At 52.4% G+C, this 16,525-nt stretch overlaps 1 protein-coding gene across 3 annotated transcripts, besides 5 other annotated features; it reads left to right on the top strand.

Moving 5' to 3' along the window:
- The first annotated feature begins 4,041 nt into the window (after positions 1-4,041).
- ZDHHC22 (zDHHC palmitoyltransferase 22) lies at positions 4,042-15,060 on the top strand. Of its 3 annotated transcripts, none has more exons than XM_011536661.3 (3): positions 4,042-4,122; positions 6,578-7,117; positions 12,382-15,060. In XM_011536661.3, the coding sequence occupies exons 2-3, from the start codon at positions 6,592-6,594 to the stop codon at positions 12,645-12,647; spliced, it is 792 nt and encodes a 263-aa protein (XP_011534963.1). In that variant the 5' UTR covers positions 4,042-4,122; positions 6,578-6,591; the 3' UTR covers positions 12,648-15,060. The 3 variants fall into 3 exon arrangements, with proteins under 3 accessions (XP_011534963.1, NP_777636.2, NP_001351101.1); NM_174976.2 differs by lacking the exon at positions 4,042-4,122 and adding an exon at positions 4,539-4,727; NM_001364172.1 differs by lacking the exon at positions 4,042-4,122 and adding an exon at positions 5,586-5,787.
- Positions 4,425-4,926: an enhancer, noted in NCBI's record as "H3K4me1 hESC enhancer chr14:77607747-77608248 (GRCh37/hg19 assembly coordinates)". NCBI's record gives its function as "activates a minimal SCP1, AML or CMV promoter by ChIP-STARR-seq in naive H9 embryonic stem cells {active_cell/tissue: H9 hESC(naive)}" and the evidence as "EXISTENCE:reporter gene assay evidence [ECO:0000049][PMID:30033119]".
- Positions 5,021-5,584: an enhancer, noted in NCBI's record as "H3K4me1 hESC enhancer chr14:77607089-77607652 (GRCh37/hg19 assembly coordinates)". NCBI's record gives its function as "activates a minimal SCP1, AML or CMV promoter by ChIP-STARR-seq in naive H9 embryonic stem cells {active_cell/tissue: H9 hESC(naive)}" and the evidence as "EXISTENCE:reporter gene assay evidence [ECO:0000049][PMID:30033119]".
- Positions 5,585-6,148: an enhancer, noted in NCBI's record as "H3K4me1 hESC enhancer chr14:77606525-77607088 (GRCh37/hg19 assembly coordinates)". NCBI's record gives its function as "activates a minimal SCP1, AML or CMV promoter by ChIP-STARR-seq in naive and primed H9 embryonic stem cells {active_cell/tissue: H9 hESC(naive and primed)}" and the evidence as "EXISTENCE:reporter gene assay evidence [ECO:0000049][PMID:30033119]".
- Positions 6,286-6,835: an enhancer, noted in NCBI's record as "H3K27ac-H3K4me1 hESC enhancer chr14:77605838-77606387 (GRCh37/hg19 assembly coordinates)". NCBI's record gives its function as "activates a minimal SCP1, AML or CMV promoter by ChIP-STARR-seq in primed H9 embryonic stem cells {active_cell/tissue: H9 hESC(primed)}" and the evidence as "EXISTENCE:reporter gene assay evidence [ECO:0000049][PMID:30033119]".
- Positions 12,043-12,542: an enhancer, noted in NCBI's record as "H3K4me1 hESC enhancer chr14:77600131-77600630 (GRCh37/hg19 assembly coordinates)". NCBI's record gives its function as "activates a minimal SCP1, AML or CMV promoter by ChIP-STARR-seq in naive and primed H9 embryonic stem cells {active_cell/tissue: H9 hESC(naive and primed)}" and the evidence as "EXISTENCE:reporter gene assay evidence [ECO:0000049][PMID:30033119]".
- Positions 15,061-16,525: the final 1,465 nt, after the last annotated feature.

The following is a 16,525-nucleotide window of genomic DNA, read 5'->3' as shown; positions in this document are numbered from 1 at the left end:
CTTCTCCTCTCTGCCCTCTCCCTCCCTCCTCTTCTTCCTCCCTATACCCCCTCTTTCTCCTCCCTCTGCCTCCTGCGTGCTCTGAGATGAAAGGGCCAGTTAATCTTGCTGCCACCGCTTCCACAGGGCTGGGTACTCGCTTGTCCACAGGCACAGGCGTCCCTACCAGGACTGCCTAAACGGTCCCTGGAAACCATGGCTAATTGGTGAAAGAGCCCATTGGTTCATTCTTCCACAGCCTGGATACTGCAAAAGAGGCTCTCCCAAGCTAACCCAAGATTTCCACCCTGATGCACCAATCACCTGGGAGACCACTGGGTTTACTTGTCACCCAGACCTGTAGTTTCTACCTTGACATGTGAGCTTGGAGGCTGAGCATACCTGCCCCTAATCACACACACCCCCTCCAGCACGACAAACAGCAGAGTGCCTGAGGGCATTTGATTAATGTGCTGCAGGCTTACAAGTTTATGCATATTATATTTATTCATTCAACCAATGTTTACTGAGCACCTACTACTATGTGCCAGACACTGTTATAGGCACTTGGGATATAGCAGTGAATAAAGCAGTTCAAATCCTACTCTCACGGAGTTGAGAATTCAGTGGGGAGAGACAGACAGTAAACAGACAAATATATACCTGTCAAGTGGTGATAAAAGTTGTTGAAGACAAAGCAGAGTAGACAGGATGCAGAGTGCAGAGCACAGCAGTTTTAGGTAAAGGGAGATCCTTCAGGTCTGTTACTCTGGGGGAGTATGTTACATACCTGCTTCCTTTATGCAACTGACATGTTCCAGAAAAGTTAAATATCGATGAGATATGTTTTGCATATTAAATCATATTTCAAATCAAACATAGTCAAGCCTTGCAAATTAACATGCAGCAAATCTCTGAACCTCAGTTTCCCCATAAGGAAAATGGGTTTGATAATTCTCACCCCAGCTAGTTTGTGCTGTTGAGAGAGATTCATGGGATGAAATTTTAATTTTGTGGATGACTTTGTAGCCTGCAAAGCACTTTATTACATCAAAGTAATGTTATCGTTGTTAAAATGAAGACATAGTTAGCAAAGTAAATTACCACCTCCAAATAGAAACTCTGTGATAATCCAATTTTCATGTATTTAGTTGGCTAAAATGAAGATTACACTTGCATGTTTTCCAAATCTGGGCAGGCAGGGATGGCATCTTTGTAAGCCTTCCCAGGCTTGGGAAACACTCTGTGGTTATCCCTGGCTATGATCTGCTGTCAGCGCTAAAGAGCATCCTGACCCAAGCCTATCTTCACCTTGATCTATCTGAAATAAGAGCATAAGAATGAAAGAAAACCACCACCAGCCTTCTTAGGTGCAGCTCCTTGCATCTTGGAATAGTCTCCATCCAAAACATTTGGGGCATTATAGGCCTGACAGACATGGAGGCGGGGTTACTCACTCAAGGCAGAAGCTGCTTGCTACATGGATTTCTCTCCTTGTAATACAACACTCTGAAGCAAAGTGGAATAATTTCCACTTGAAAGGGAATTCATTTTATTCAAATAACACCACCAAATAGCAAGATTGAGGGCGCATATCTCCAGGAAAGGGCTGGACAGCAATGAGATGCTTATCTGTGCCCCTGTCCCCATGGGACTGCCTGCAGGTACAGTTATGGCTTAACTATAGGAATCTACAGCAAGAGCAATGGAGAGTGTGGTTTATAAATCATTTCTGTCACTGTTTATGGAGGATGAGATTAGAGTCAGGGTGGGTGGTGGCAGGTTGCAAGATCAATGGCAAATGTGTCCTCAGCAGATATTTCTCTTTGAGACAGAGTCTTGATCTGTCACCCAGGCTGGAGTGCAATGGCATGGTCTTGGGTCACAGCAACCTCTGCCTCCTGGGTTCAAGCGATTCTCCTGTCTCAGCCTCTTGAGTAGCTGGGATTACAGGCACTGGCCACCACGCCTGGCTAATTTTTATATTTTTAGTAGGGACGGGGTTTCCCCATGTTGGCCAGGATGGTTTCGGACTCCTGACCTCAGGTGATCTGCCTGCCTCAGCCTCCCAAAGTGCTGGGATTACAGGTGTGAGCCAATGCATCTGGCCCTCACCAGACATTTCAAAGACCTCAGAATATAGCTCTTCCTTTCACAGACAGACCAGTAGCAATTCATCGATCAAGAGACTTTTACTCAGTGTCAACTCTGGGCAAATCATCCTATTAGGAAATATGGAAGAAACCCCAAAACATTTCCAACATAGGCAAGGAGCTCTCATTTTAGTTGGAAAGTGAAGAGAGTCCTGTGGTTGAAAAGAGGAGCCCTAAAGATGTGGGAGACGCTAAGGTGCTTAAATTACATGATCCCATTTGATCATCATCACCACAAATAACAGCAGCATTCTTATTCCCATTTTACCGATGAGAATACTGAGAGCAGAGAGGTTAAATGACTAGCAGCTCATGGTCACACAGCTGGTAAATGGCAATAAAATGCTCATTCTTAGTCTGCTTGACTCTCATAGGGCCAGAATCCAAGTGAAGTTTTCATATTGATTTTGCCTCCCTATTGATTTTGTCAGGGATAAGCATAAGTTTTAGAAAAACAAAATGACATTTGCCGTGCTTCCCTTCACTCCATTCCTTAAGGGGAGCTGAGGAACCACTAGCTTTAGATCTGAAGCTGTAATGTCCTTTTCTGTTGATAAACGATATTTCTAAATAAATAATCGTCCTTGTCCATTTGTGTTTCCACGACCAGATCTCCTTTTCCTGACTGAATACTCCCTTCCCCCACTAACATCTTCCCACGTTCGCTTAGCTTCTTTCTCTCTTTCCCTTTCCTCATACACACAGATTCAGACACACACCTTCCCACCTCACACCCATATGCAAAATAAAATTAGAAATACCACCCGACTCACAAGGTATTTGGGGAATGGAGATCTTCAGTCAGTATACCCAAACCCAAGCACCCCAGCCAGCCTCCCTCCCTGCCAAGCCCATGTGAGAGGCAGACAGAGCTTGTGAAAAGGGGCCCAGACGGCCACGATTATGAGACAAAGCTGCTCTGAAGGGAAAAGGGCCATGTGTGCCTCCCCATGTCTGTCCTGTGGCCACTGGAACTCACAAGGCTACCAGCTGCTCACGGCCACCATGTGGCATATACTGTTCTTTCACTTACATGTCAGATCCTTTTAGAATGTGAAAAGGTTTCCTGGCCTCTTTTTTATTTTGATGTATGCTGATAAATTACAGAGGAAACAGTGTGTGGTTATTCAAGAATAGAGGCTGAGCTGATCAGCATATGGCCCTCATTTCAAGGGATTGCTCTTGTTTTAATCAGCCAGTTGAGAAAGCAATAAATGTTTATTTATTAAGTATGCCATCACCGAGAGGAGAGGAACAGGGCAGGTAGGTGAGCTGCGACACCCAGGAAATTGAGGATGGTGATGGCACCAATATTCCTGCAGTGTTTGATGTTTTTAAGGCTCTGCTCCCCCCACCCCCCACTGTTTGATACACATTGGTGTCACTACCCTCTTGGCGCATCACAGTACCCACCTTAGAATAGCGGAGCCCTGGAAGGGGAAGGAAATAGAAATAAGAAGGTGGGGGTGAGGCTCAAAGAAGAAGCTCCAAGTTCAAGCTCTGTGTCTGGATAAACTCCCATTGTCTTTCCTTCTCTCAAATCAGAGCTGCCCGTGGGTCCCAGGGTGATGCTGGGCTGTGTAGAGGCTGAGTGCAGGAGCATTAATGCTAGAACCAGGTTCAAGTCCAGGCTCTGTCACTTAATGGCTGTATGACCTTAGACATGAGACTTAGCTTCTCTGAGCTTCAACCTCCTCATCTCCAGAATGGGGCTCAGCCAGCTTCACAGATCAGGCTGAGAGGATTAAGGAAGCATCTTATGCTAAAGGCTTAGCACAATGCCTGCTACCTAGTAGGGGCCCGATAAGTAGTGTCTAATTATGATCTAATCAAGCAGTGCTTGCCCTGGGCAGGCCCTGTTTAAGGGTTTTACATAGATTGTCATTTAACCCTCATATCTCTATTTCACAGATGAGGAAACTGGAATCTAAGATCACACTGGAATTTACAGACGAAGAAACTGGAATCTGAGATCTCACAGTAGTGAATGGTGAATATTCAAACCCAGGTAGACAGGCTCCAGAGTCCCAACTCCCAACCCTCTGTACACAGCCCTTCCGAGGAGATGACGCTGATCTTCATGGGTGTTGCCCTGGCAAGCTGACCTCTCAAGCCCCCAGGGTTCCTTCAGTCCGAGTGGAGAGCAGGGAAGGTCGTGGGACCTAGCCGAGAGGGAAGGGCAGGATGATGGCTGGAGAATCCACATCAGGGCTGAATCCCAATCTCCCAGCTGGAACGGGCGCTGAAACCAGGCAGGGCGCCCCAGCCCGCTCAAGGGGAATCGAGAGGGGAGGAGGGGGCAAGTCCACGATGCTGAGACTGGCGGCCAGAGCACCGCCCCCAGGAGCGGAGGGAGGGGTGGCGGGGCTGGGGGGTGCCCAGCTGCCATCCCCGCCGCTTCCTGGCCCTTACTCGCTGGCGCCCAAGTGGGAAGCCAGCAGCTGCCCGCTCCCTCCTCCCCACATCCCCGCTACTTGCCCAGTTCCCGAAGCGAAGCGCAGGCTGCGAGCCAGCCGGGCCGAGTCCACAACTTTGCAGCCTCGGGCAGGGCGAGAGCCGGCGTCCGGGGCTCCTCTTGTCGGCGACCAGAGCTCGGTGAGTTGATTTCCTCACCCCTCTGCGACGGCGGCAGTGCGGCGGCGGCGGCGCGGGGGGCGGCTTCCCGTGCGTCCGGGAGGCAGTGGCCGAGAAGCCCGCGGCTGCCGGCGCTGCCGGTCTTTCCAAGGCTCCGGCTGTGCCGCCCTCTGCCGCGGGCGAGGCGGGCGCCAGGGCTGAACGGACAGCTCCCTACACCCCGGGGCCCCACGGGCGGTCTCTGCTGTCCCTTCTCCCGCGCAGGGCCAGGGCTGAGGCTGCCTGCCGAGCGCCCCTCACTCCCCTAGCCCCTGTCCTTCGCCGCCTTCCCAGCGCTGCGGCGCATCTGGCTGCTCCCGCGCCCCCCTGGCGACCGGCGCCGGGAAGGCACTTGCTTCGCCGGAGCCCCAGGCCGAGGGCTCTCTGGGGTGGGCAGCACCGCCGCAGCCCCCGGCGGCGCAGGACTGGGGGCGTGCCCAGCCCCCGGCGACCACCCTCAGGCGTGCACTGCGCTGCGCCCCAGCGGTAGGGAGAGGCCCACGCTCTCCGCGGAGGCTGCGGGTTCCCGGGGGGCGCTGGGACCTGCAAAGGGGATTCCAAGGTGACCAGTCGACCCGTGCGGACGGGACAGCCTGGACGGAGGCCCCGTGGCATCCACCCATCCTAGGTGCAACCGCCTTCCCAGAACTTTTCTCGCGCCTCCGGCTGGCCGATTCCTTAGCCCCTGGAAAAGTTCTCTCGGGCGCACGGAATCCTATTTCTCGGTGGCTTCCGAAGCTGGCCAGGAACCCCGGCTGTGAGGCGTGGGGTGGGATGGGGACGTGGTGAGGGCTGAGCACGGCGGCGGGGTCGATCCCAGGAAAGGCTGGCCAAGCATCCACTCGTGCGCCCAGGGCGGGCTTGTCGGCATGGAAAGGATTTCGGCGCCATGAGGGTTGTTTGGGTTTCTCTCAGCAGGAGGGCGGGAGGCGGGCGCGAAGGGGGGATTTTAATTTCGCCTCAAATGAAAACGCTCTTCGCAAAGAAATAGCCCGGGCAGCCAGCGTTGGAGAGATGTGCTGGCCAGGACCCGCTGACACAGGTATTCTGGTTGCGCCCCCACCTCACCCGGTGCCCGAGAGCGAGTGTGAGTGTATCGATTGTTTCAATTGATTTTTTTAAAGCTAGATAGCAGAGGCTGCGTGTCTGTACACGCAGATATATACATACACAAATACAGATACTCAAGCGCACACAGATTACACGTACAGAGTCACAGACAAGGACACACACACACACATCGTGGTCCCTCACGCACACATACCTCCAAAGAGCCTTGGGTAACCTGGTGAGGTCCCTGAGTGCTGCCCAAGATGTGTGTGTGGGTGGGGACGCAGGGACGGAGAAAGGGGAGTGTGAAGCAGGATTTCCAGCAGGTCAAGTGCCGCTGATTCTCCTGCCCCCGACCCCAAATCCTTCCCTTTCTCCTCCTAGGGAGGTCTGAACCAGAAATCCCAAACCTGGGCTTGTTTCCACATCCACAGAGGGGAGGAGTCCTATCCCCCGGTGCCCCCCACCCTCACAACTCCTAAAGACTGCAAACGAGTCCCTCCCTCCTGTGCCAGACTCTGCCGCGCCAAGGCGCCGAGCTCGCTCAAAACCCCAGGCAACACTCACCCCCAGGTGGGGCCTAGACCCGAGGCCGCTGCGGGCTCGGGTCTCTGGCCTGCCTGATCCGGGGTTAGGGAACTGGGGAGGGGAAATCCGCGGGACAGGGGGTTGGGGGCGTGGAGTCGCGTGCAGTGCCCCAGACGCGCGGCACGGAGGAGCGGGCGAGGGCGCCCCCTGGACGCCGTAGTCAGTCAGTCCTCTTCTCACCCCGGGCCCCGCAGGAATGTAATCGAGGATGCTGGCCCTGCGGCTGCTCAACGTGGTGGCCCCCGCCTACTTCTTGTGCATCTCCCTGGTGACCTTCGTGCTGCAGCTCTTCCTCTTCCTGCCCAGCATGCGCGAGGACCCCGCGGCCGCCCGGCTCTTCTCGCCCGCCCTGCTCCACGGGGCGCTCTTCCTATTCCTCTCGGCCAACGCCCTGGGCAATTACGTCCTTGTCATCCAGAACTCCCCAGACGACCTGGGGGCCTGCCAGGGGGCCTCGGCCAGGAAGACTCCATGCCCCTCACCTAGCACCCACTTCTGCCGAGTGTGCGCCAGAGTCACCCTGAGGCACGACCATCACTGTTTCTTCACCGGCAACTGCATCGGCAGCAGGAACATGCGCAACTTCGTCCTGTTCTGCCTCTACACCTCCCTGGCCTGCCTCTACTCCATGGTGGCCGGCGTGGCCTACATCTCCGCTGTCCTTTCCATCTCCTTCGCCCACCCCTTGGCCTTCCTCACGCTCCTGCCCACCTCCATCAGCCAGTTCTTCTCCGGTGAGTGGGCCTTGGCGGGCAGGTTGGGCTCTACACAAAGACCTCCCACCCCAAAGGTTGCCGGGCCCCAAACCCCAACCCCAAAAGTTGCCAGATTTAGCAAATAAAAATACAGACCGTCCCGCTAAATTAAAATTTCAGATAAACAACTCATAATTTTTTAGTATAATTATGTCCCAGATATTGTATGAGATACACTGAGAAAATTTGCTATTGGCTATCTGAAATGCAAATTAAGCGGACATGCTGTATTTTATTGGTAACATCCCCCCTTGCCCCCATCATTCTCATCCATCATGCTGTCCATATGCTCACAGAGTTGTGGCATCCAGGTAATACACCTGCTCTGTGCCAGGCAGGACTAGGTGCTGGCCATTCCTCCATGTAGCCCCATGAGGTACAACCATGCTATGACATTCCTCTGCCTGGTCCCCAGTTCTGCTTACATGTCACCCAAGGACTCTGCTCTCCAGAGGTCTCACCAACCAATTGCAGTAATATTGAACTTGTTGCCAGCCCAGCCCAGCAGGAGGCTAAGCTCTGTCCTCCTGCCTATTATGTTTGACCTCACCAGCCTGTTCTCCAGCCTGCTGATGGCTCAGAGCAGAGGGAACGTGGGTGGGAGAGGCAGGTTTTTTGTTTTTTTTTTTTAAGACAGAGTCTCACTCCATCACACAGGCTGAAGCGCAGTGGTGAAAGCAATCTCTGCTTACTGTAACCTCTACCTCCCAGGTTCAAGTGATTCTCTTGCCTCAACCTCCCGAGTAGCTGGGATTACAGGTGCGTGCCACCACGCCACACTAATTTTTGTATTTTTAGTAGAGATGGTGTTTTACTGTGTTGGCCAGGCGGGCCTTGAACTCTTGACCTAAAGTGATCCGCCCACCTTGGCCTCCCAAAGTGCTGGGATTTACAGATGTGAGCCACTGCGCCTGGCTGAGGACTGCACTTTAACTAGTATGCACCAAGGACCACTACCTGATACCTGGCCCTAGAAGGACTCAGCTCCTGGTGGCAGTTCTTACCACTTTATTTGGCCTTGAGACTGGCTCCTACTGCGTTTCCTTCCACTTCCTCCCTACCCTGGCCTTTGACTCTGAATGGCTTAGCTTCCACAATCAGTAGTGTCTACGTGCTTGAGTGTGCATGTATAGCATTGCTATCTCCATTTCTCAGATGATGAAACCGAGACTCAGACGGGACTAAGTGGCTTGCCCAGTGTCTTCCTGCTACTGAGTGGCAGTCTCTGGTCTGCCTCTCAGGTCCTTAATCCACAGCTCTTCTGCAGTGGCTCAGGGAATAGAACATGCTTCCTCACCTGTTGGCCTTCTAGGAGCAAAGAAAGGCAGAGGGCAGCTACTTCCTCTGAAAGCCCAAGATTGTTTTGAGGTGCCTGGGCTGAACATTCATAAAAATTCTGCTCTACTCTGGGGGAAGCCATCATTTCAGTCTTTGTGGTGGCTACAGCCCAGTTCTTCCCAGGCATAGAACTATCATGCCATTTGGCAGTGGGAACACAGAGATACAGGGGGGACCCAGCTACGGGGGCTGCCTTCAGGGCTGGTGGCTGAGCTGGGTCCAGAACTCACAGCTTTCAGGCCTTCTGGATCCCAGCACTGGCACAGGAGGCTGCCGGGACCAAAATAACCAGGACGGGGGAGGGTGGGTGGGTGGGCTAGTGGGTGGAGTGTGAGCACAGGCAGGTGGAGGGATGAAGAGAGCCAACAAGCCTGCTTATACTTTCTTTTCCAAGTAGTTTCGCCAACCGTAAAAATGGATGGTTCCAGAAGGAAGACCTTGAAATGGTTTGATTTGAGATAAATCTGGGCTTGAGGCCTGTCCATATGTGCTAGGTTTGATCTGATGGGAGAACAGAGCCAGTGAGTGCCCACCTTGGGGCCCAGACTCCTGTGCCAGCATGAGTTCCAGTGTCTTTCACTTCCTCACCATATCCACTGGAAACAGGCGAGCAAGACTTCTTACCTCCAACTCTCCTATCTCATCTTTTGTGACCTTTCATCTTTCCTCTTGAGGACCTTCCTTTCTTTCCCTCCCATGACATACACCCCACCTGTTTGGCTTTCCCTTTCCCATTCCTCTTGTTCCCCAACCCTCAATCCGAACAGTTGGTAGCACCCTCTCTCATCTGCACAGGAGGACAGGTGGACAGAAAAGAGTAAGAAGCATGGGTTGTTTAATAGAAATTGAGTTCAAGATCAGCCTGGGCAAGATGGTGAGACTCCGTTGCTACAAAAATAAAAAATAAATAAATACACTAGCCAGGCATAGTGGCATGTGCCTGTTTTCCCAGCTACTCAGGAGGCTGAGGTGAGAGAATTGCTTGAGCCCAAGAGTTTGAGGCTGCAGTGAGCTATGATCATGCCACTGCACTCTATCCAGCCTGGGCTACAGAGCAAGACCCTGTCTCAAGAAAAAAAGAAAGAAAGAAATTGAGCTGTCCCCAACTGTGGTACAGATCTGAGTCAGATCTGTCACCAGAGCATGGATGGCTGTGAGTTTGGGCCTTGAGAGCTAAAAGTGGGAGGGGTCTTCTAGTGTGAAGGTGGCGGCCAACCACAGGCCCTCAGCTGATCCAGAGAGGGAGGCGGCTAGCTAGTTAGGTTTCAGAAGTTACCCTTTCTTTTGGCTTTGTGGGACCAGTACAGGTTGCTGTGTCACCTCTCTGAACCTTATTCTTATCTGGGAAATGGAGATGCCACCATCTGACCTGTATCTTGGCATTTGGGTAAGTACACCAGCATGATGGGTGCTACCAGAAAGTCCAGTAAGAGGGAAAGGGGACTAATGTTCATTGAGCACCTATTATGTACCACCCACTATGCATGTCACATTTCACCCATTCCTCTTGACAAGTCCATATTATCATGTCCATTTTTAAGGCTCAGAAACCAAAGACTCAGCAAGGTTAAGTTGCACCAACACCACACAGCTGGTACGATTCCAAACCAAGATTTGGAGTTGGGGCTTCTAGCCTCCAAAGCTCATACTCTTTCCACCCACCATACTGCCTCTTGGGGGCTGCCTCTCTGAAGCTGCTTCTCGAATGAGCCACTTTGGAAGGGAGGCAGCTACTTGTCCTTGGATGTATTAAAAAGTATGCTGGGTGATTATTTGTCAAAGGTGTTATAGATGCCTGTTGGGAGGAAGGGGCAGGGGAGATTGACTGATGTGTCCTTTTAGGCTCATTAGGAAAATTCTGTGATTTTTAAAAAGAGGCAGAACTATTATTAAATAGTTAAGAGGAGCTGAAGCAGCCAGGCTAGGTAACTTCAAACACTTTTAGAGAAAGCAGGTCCCCAGAATAGCCTTTTGTAGCTGCTGCATGGGGCCAAGAAAAGGCCGCAAGTTCTTTTTCTCATGCCTTGATTTAGTGCCAGGAAAAAACCCTGTGGGAAATGGCTTCCATCCACCCAGGCTTGTTCCTGGGGCAGTGTTGCAAGGCAGGCCCAAGCTTGACAGCTCTGATGTTCTCACATCCCAGCTTGAGGGCCACCTTTGCCTGTCAGCATTCCTCACGCCAAAGAGCACCATGGACCTGGGATCCTCCATCCCCCACATGGCTGCCCAAGCTAATCTGTGCCGACATGGAAGAAGTGGGTCAGGGGATGGCACAGCCCAATGTGAGCCCTGTCCCACTGCTGCCCCTGTGCCAGTGGAGGGGCTGCTGTAAATGGCAGCTGGGCCTATCTGTCCCCAGCTTTGTAAAAAAAAAAAAAAATAATACAGCTATCCAAGCTCCTAGGGATGAGGACAAGAGGAGGCTGCTAATGAGAGAATCTAAATCAGATCCACATCCTCCATGGCTGCTGAGTCCACCACTGCTCATACTGGACAAGTGTTGAAAGCCCAGTTGACAGGGCTTTGGAAATTGGAGGTTGGAGAGACTTGGGAAGAGGTGGGCTGGGGCAAGAGAAGGCTAGGGAAAGGGCAAAATATGGTTGAGATTTTCAAGGGCAGAATAGGTTGTAAGGTGGAGTCCTTAGAGGAGGTGCCCCCCCCCCACCAGAGGAGGTGATAGGGTTGCCCTACAGGGAACCAAAGGCTAAGGAATACTTTCGAATTAACTCCAGGGTCCAGTGCCCTGGCTGCTGGGTAGGTCAAGGTAAGTGTCTTTGCCACAGCTGCCAAAGTTGCAGCCCAGCCAGGACTCTAAGCCCTGAAAAGGAGAAGGAAAAAGCTTGATAGTTTCAGGAGTTGAACTCATTTTGGATGTAGTCTCCTGCTCTGTAAAATGACCCTCTGCTGGGAGCACCGCTCTGAGTGTGAACCGGAATGCTGACCACTCTGTACATCATTTTCTTGAAACATGCAGCTGTATGAAATCGTTAGTGTTATTATACCCATTGTACAGATGAACGAGCTGCAACTGAGAGGTTGGGACACTTGTGCCAGTCCACACAGCTGGGAGATTCAAACCTAGCATGGACCAGCCACCCAAACTCTGAGGAAGAGTGTGGGAGCTCTTACTCAGTGGTTATTTCAAACCAGTAATAGGAAGTGCTTGGTTTAGAGGGATTCTGGGGAGATCCTGCCCCACGACACAGGGCTGATGACCTTGGGGGCCTCTTCTAGCAAGCTTTGATTGACAGAACCAGCTCTGGTGGAATGCGGTGGTGGCCACACTGTCCTCTTGTTAACATTAATGACTGAATTATTCTCTACGTTGGTGTTCTGGGCTGCTCTTCAGACTAAGCTCGTGACTTATTCTTCCCAGATCTCCATCATGCTGTCATTTTCCTGAGTCCTCTCAACCAGCGTTCCCAGAACAGTAGGGAGAAGGTGCTGTGGACTAGACAGCTGCCCAGGCACCTGCTCCCTCTTTAGGGTCCCCAGCTCACCCCTCTCTCCTCCTGAGCAAAACCCCTTCACCCTGCTTCTAGCCCAAAAGGAGAAAGCAGAGAGAGACAGGCATCTCCTACTCTACAGAAATGTTATCAGCGGCCAGGTGCTGCCCCAGGAGCTGAGGGCTGTCCTTGCTAAGCTCATCAAACTTAGCTCTCTTCTCTGCCATGTCTCCAGTCTTCCCCTCTTGCCTCAGGTGCCATCCGCGCCAAGAAAAAGTTAGGGCAGCTGGTTCTTCCTTCCTCTCCCTCACTGCAGCTGCAGCGCTGAGGTTGCTACAAAATGTAGCGTCAATCTCATTAATCTCCCTCCCTCCCGGTGGAAAGCCTGCCTAGATCGCAGTTATGCCGGTGGCCTGGGTGTAAAGCGGCTCTGGTGTTTCCCCTCCCCGTGCCCTGCAGGAGCTGTCCTGGGTTCTGAAATGTTCGTCATCCTCATGCTCTACCTCTGGTTCGCCATCGGCCTGGCCTGCGCCGGCTTCTGCTGCCACCAGCTGCTGTTGATCCTCCGCGGGCAGACCCGCCACCAGGTGCGGAAGGGGGTGGCAGTGAGGGCCCGGCCCTGGCGCAAGAACTTACAAGAGGTCTTCGGAAAGAGGTGGCTGCTGGGCCTGCTGGTCCCCATGTTCAATGTCGGAAGTGAGAGCTCCAAGCAGCAGGATAAGTAGTAGACACTCCCGTCATTTATCTCTCTGTCTCTGTCTTGACTCCTCCTGAGCATAAAACCATGGCAGCCTTGTCTCCACCCATGACTCACTACAACCTTGTGCTGGTAAGGTCCTAGCATCTTCCCCTCACCTTCCACCCATGAGAACAGCGTGAGCTGGTGGATCATGACAAGGAGGAAAAATGTCCCCCCAGGCATTTCTAGGCTCCTCACGAGCCAGCCAGGTGGCTGCTAGCTGTTAGGCTGCCTCTGCTTTCTTTCCGTCCCCTTGGGATCCCTGCTTTCCCCCTCTTCCTGGCTCATCCATTCTCCACCGTGTCTCATTCATCACTGCTGTCTGCTAGAGCCCTTCCTCTCAGCCCCCATGTTGGGAGAGGGGAGTGGATTCTTGCTGCTGGTATGAGACTCCCTGGGACCTAGAGGCTGGCAAATGTTTAAAATCACCACGTGTAAGAGGCAGCCAAGTCAGCTCTGCCAACTGCTAGGGGAGTTGGGAAAGAGTGGGTGTGTGTCCGCATCCCCTCTGTAGGAAAAAGAACTTAGTAGCTTGCTGCTCCCTCACCACCCCCCACCAGGTTCAAGACCCTTTTTCTGGGAGACAGCAATCAATGGCCTGCTTTTTCCAAATGTTATTCCCTGTCCACCCTGCCCCATCTGGCCGGCCCAGCCCAGTCCAGGACCTGGCTGGATGCTTCCTGTCCCTGGAACTCTTCCAGCCTTTCTACTTGATCTCCAGCCCCCAGGTCTTTGCCAGATGATGGGAAGGCAAGGAAGAAGGGACAGGGAAAGATAATTACTGATAAATGAAGGGGATATTCGACTGTATAACCATATGGAAGTGTGTGTGTGTGTGTGTGTGTGTGTGTGAGAGAGAGAGAGAGAGAGATGGGTGGTGGTGAGAAGTGTTGTTAGAAACATATAGGAATAATGCCTAGGGGAAAGGGAGAAGTGAGAGGGACAATTGGGTTCATTTATGCCCTATACAAAGGGCATTCCAGCAGCTGAAACTCTTCAATGTTTGAATGGCTGCCTGTGAAGGTAGTGAGTGCCCCATCACTGGAGGTATTCCAGCAGAGTCTAGGCAGTCGTCTGCCAGGCATGCTGTGGAAGGGATTTCTGTACAGGGTCATTCTAGGTGAGCTTACACATTCCTTCCAACCCCAAGGTTCTGATGTCCTGGTTGTGATTGCTGGACCCAGAGGCAAGATCTGCAGAGATGCCTGTGAGATATTTGCTTTCCTAGAGGGGAGTGTGGGCATGGGAGGGGTCTGAAAATCAGGACCCAACCCAGCCACTGAAGAGAGAGTCTCTGCAGAGACAGGGCTACCTGGGTGGTTGAGGGGACTGACATTTGAGGACAGGGAGATGGAGCAGTGTCATTGTCAGTGGCAGGGCATGGGGGGCAGTGGTGAGCTAAGGCTGAGGAGTGGAGATGACCAGAATATAAGGGTGCAATTCCCAGACCATCCCTGCGCATCTGACTGACTCCGGTGGAGGCACTGCTGTGTGTTTTCTGAAACCTAGAGGACCAGACCTCTGGGGCATATAAGGGAGTAGGGACAACACAAGTGCCCCCTCCTGACTGGGTCCCAAAGCCAATATGACATCCATGCAGGCAGCAGTGCTGAATCCATGCCCTGCAATGTCCAACCGCCAACTGCAGTGACCCGCTGATAGCTGCGCAACAGCCTGGGTTCTTGAGCAGAGATTGGGAGGACTTTACTGTGGTTCTGCCTTCACACCCCCTAGAGAGCTAATGTAGTATTGGCTCCACCTGCTCACATTTCTCCCTCCCATACTCATTCCTTCACTCATCCATCCTACGTATATTTATTGAGTGCCAACTACGTTCCCAGCCTCTTCCAGGCACTGGCAATGCAGTGATGAACAGGATGACAAGATTCATGCCATCAGGGGCACCTTGTCACTGCCGTCTGTGCACTGATTCACACTCCCTGCAAAATGGTCACTCTGCCATCTTGGTGGTTGGTGGGGCAGGTCATTTGGAAATAAAGAATGTGATAGAGATGGCTGAAGAGGGGAAGCCTAGGCTGCCTCAATGGAGGAGTCGCTGGGGGCATTTTCACCCACAATTCTGGCCATACTTAAGCAATGGGAGGGAGAGGGAGGAGGGGAAGATCTGGGCAATTTTGGCCTTGACTCTTTCCTGGCTCCAGAGCTCAAGCTTAGAAGCCAGCCCTGCTATTTCCAGCCTCCTGAAGGCTCAGCACGGTGAGGCCTGACATCCTGGGGAAGGGCAACAGGGAGACCTACAGGATGTTGGCTGCTTGCAGACTGGTCAATGGGGGATGACGGTGGGGAGGTTGCCAGATGTGAGACTTGAGTAGCATTTGTACACATGGCCCTGTATTGTCCTTGAAGAACATCAATAAAATATATGGTTTTAAATTGGATTTGATATGATTGTATGGGCACTGTTGGTAGCAGGGCTGGACTGTACTGATGCAGCCATACTAGCTATTCAAATATTTAAAATAAGTATTGAAAATACTAAGAAATTCTTACAACTAAGAAAGTTGGTAAACAACCATGGCTCAGATTCTCTGAGTATCCTACCCCTTCTGCCCCTGCTCCTCCCTGGGGACCCTGGATTCACTCCACAATCCAGCAACTAAAGTGATCATTCCTGGCACATGCATGGGGCCCCCCAGCCCTGCTGCAGCCCTCAGTCAGAGTCCATTGTGATTTGTCAGGGCTGGGCTGTGTGGTGCTAAATAGGTGTCACCTCTGGTTGGTAACCAGAGGCTTCAGTGCTGGGTTGGTAACCAGAGGCTTCAGTGCTGGGGTCCATGGACCCACAGGGACCAGAGATGGAATATCTTACCTAGGAACTTCCCTTTTCCTCCTTCTCCTTCCATTCTTTCTCCTCCTCTCCCTCTCCTCCCCATATCAGAAGACAGGTGAGGAAAAGAGTGAAGAGAGTCCCTCTGCTGCTCCTCCACAGACAGAGCCAGCTTCTCCTAGGGATCAGTCAGGCCCCCTGCCCTCTCAGGCCCTGCAACATCTGGAGGTCTCAGGCTTCCCAGCCCTGGGGACAGTTGGGAGGGTGTTGAGCCTTTCAGGCAGTGGGCCCTGAGCAGACGAATGAGCAAGGCCTCTGATTCATCCTAAAGACACAAGGCCTGGACTGAGGAAGGATACAACTGCAAAGAGCTGTTGCAGAACCCTCAGCCTAGCCGAGTGTCATGGTGGTGTATGTTCCCTGAACACACACCAACAGGCGAACAGCTTTGCTGCAGGTGCTGGGTGAATGGAGCTGTGGTGAATCCTCAGCACATTCTAGAACATGGGCTGCCTACACTCCATGGGGCAGGCACCACACTTGCCTTGGTCACTGTCATATCCTTGATGCGTAGCAGGGGCTAGGCACACAGTAGGTGCTCAATGAATATTGCCTGAATGATGCAGATTTAGCGCTCACATGCTTACTCCACATCTCTTATTCCCATGCTGGACCCAGGACTGCACTTTGCACATCGTGGGGCTAGAAAACAGATGAGACCACTCTCTCTTCGAGGAGTTCCCATTCTGGCAGAGGTTTCTGGGAGTGCTCAGAGGAGGGAGAGAGCACATTCTGCTGCTAGGTCTGGGGCCTTTCCATGATACGGGGCCTGGAAAGATGGATGAGATTTCAGCAGGCAAAGAGGGACAGGGAGGGCTTTCCAGGGACAGAGAACAGGCCTGGGCCTTGGGGTATAAGGGATATCACAAAGAGGCAGAGGAGGTTAAGGCTGAGAGTAGGGACCCAAGCAGAGAGGGCTCTGAATGCCAAGCTAAGGGACCTGGAGGGCATTTGACAGGCAATAGGGAACCACTGAAAGTTCTGAGCAAGAGAGCAGCATGATCAGAGGTAGATTT

The sequence above is a fragment of the Homo sapiens genome, chromosome 14 (genome assembly GCF_000001405.40).
Source record: "Homo sapiens chromosome 14, GRCh38.p14 Primary Assembly".
NCBI classification, from domain to species: domain Eukaryota; kingdom Metazoa; phylum Chordata; class Mammalia; order Primates; family Hominidae; genus Homo; species Homo sapiens.
Note: the sequence above shows the minus strand (reverse complement) of the source record. Positions and strands in the feature narration are given on the sequence as shown.

What these genes read in the sequence shown, in the direction of transcription:
- ZDHHC22 (XM_011536661.3), top strand. Translation starts at nt 6,592, where the DNA reads ATGCTGGCCCTGCGGCTGCTCAACGTGGTGGCCCCCGCCTACTTCTTG. An exon ending in CATCAGCCAGTTCTTCTCCG is followed by an intron (nt 7,118 to 12,381) that starts GTGAGTGGGCCT and finishes CGTGCCCTGCAG; the next exon opens with GAGCTGTCCTGGGTTCTGAA.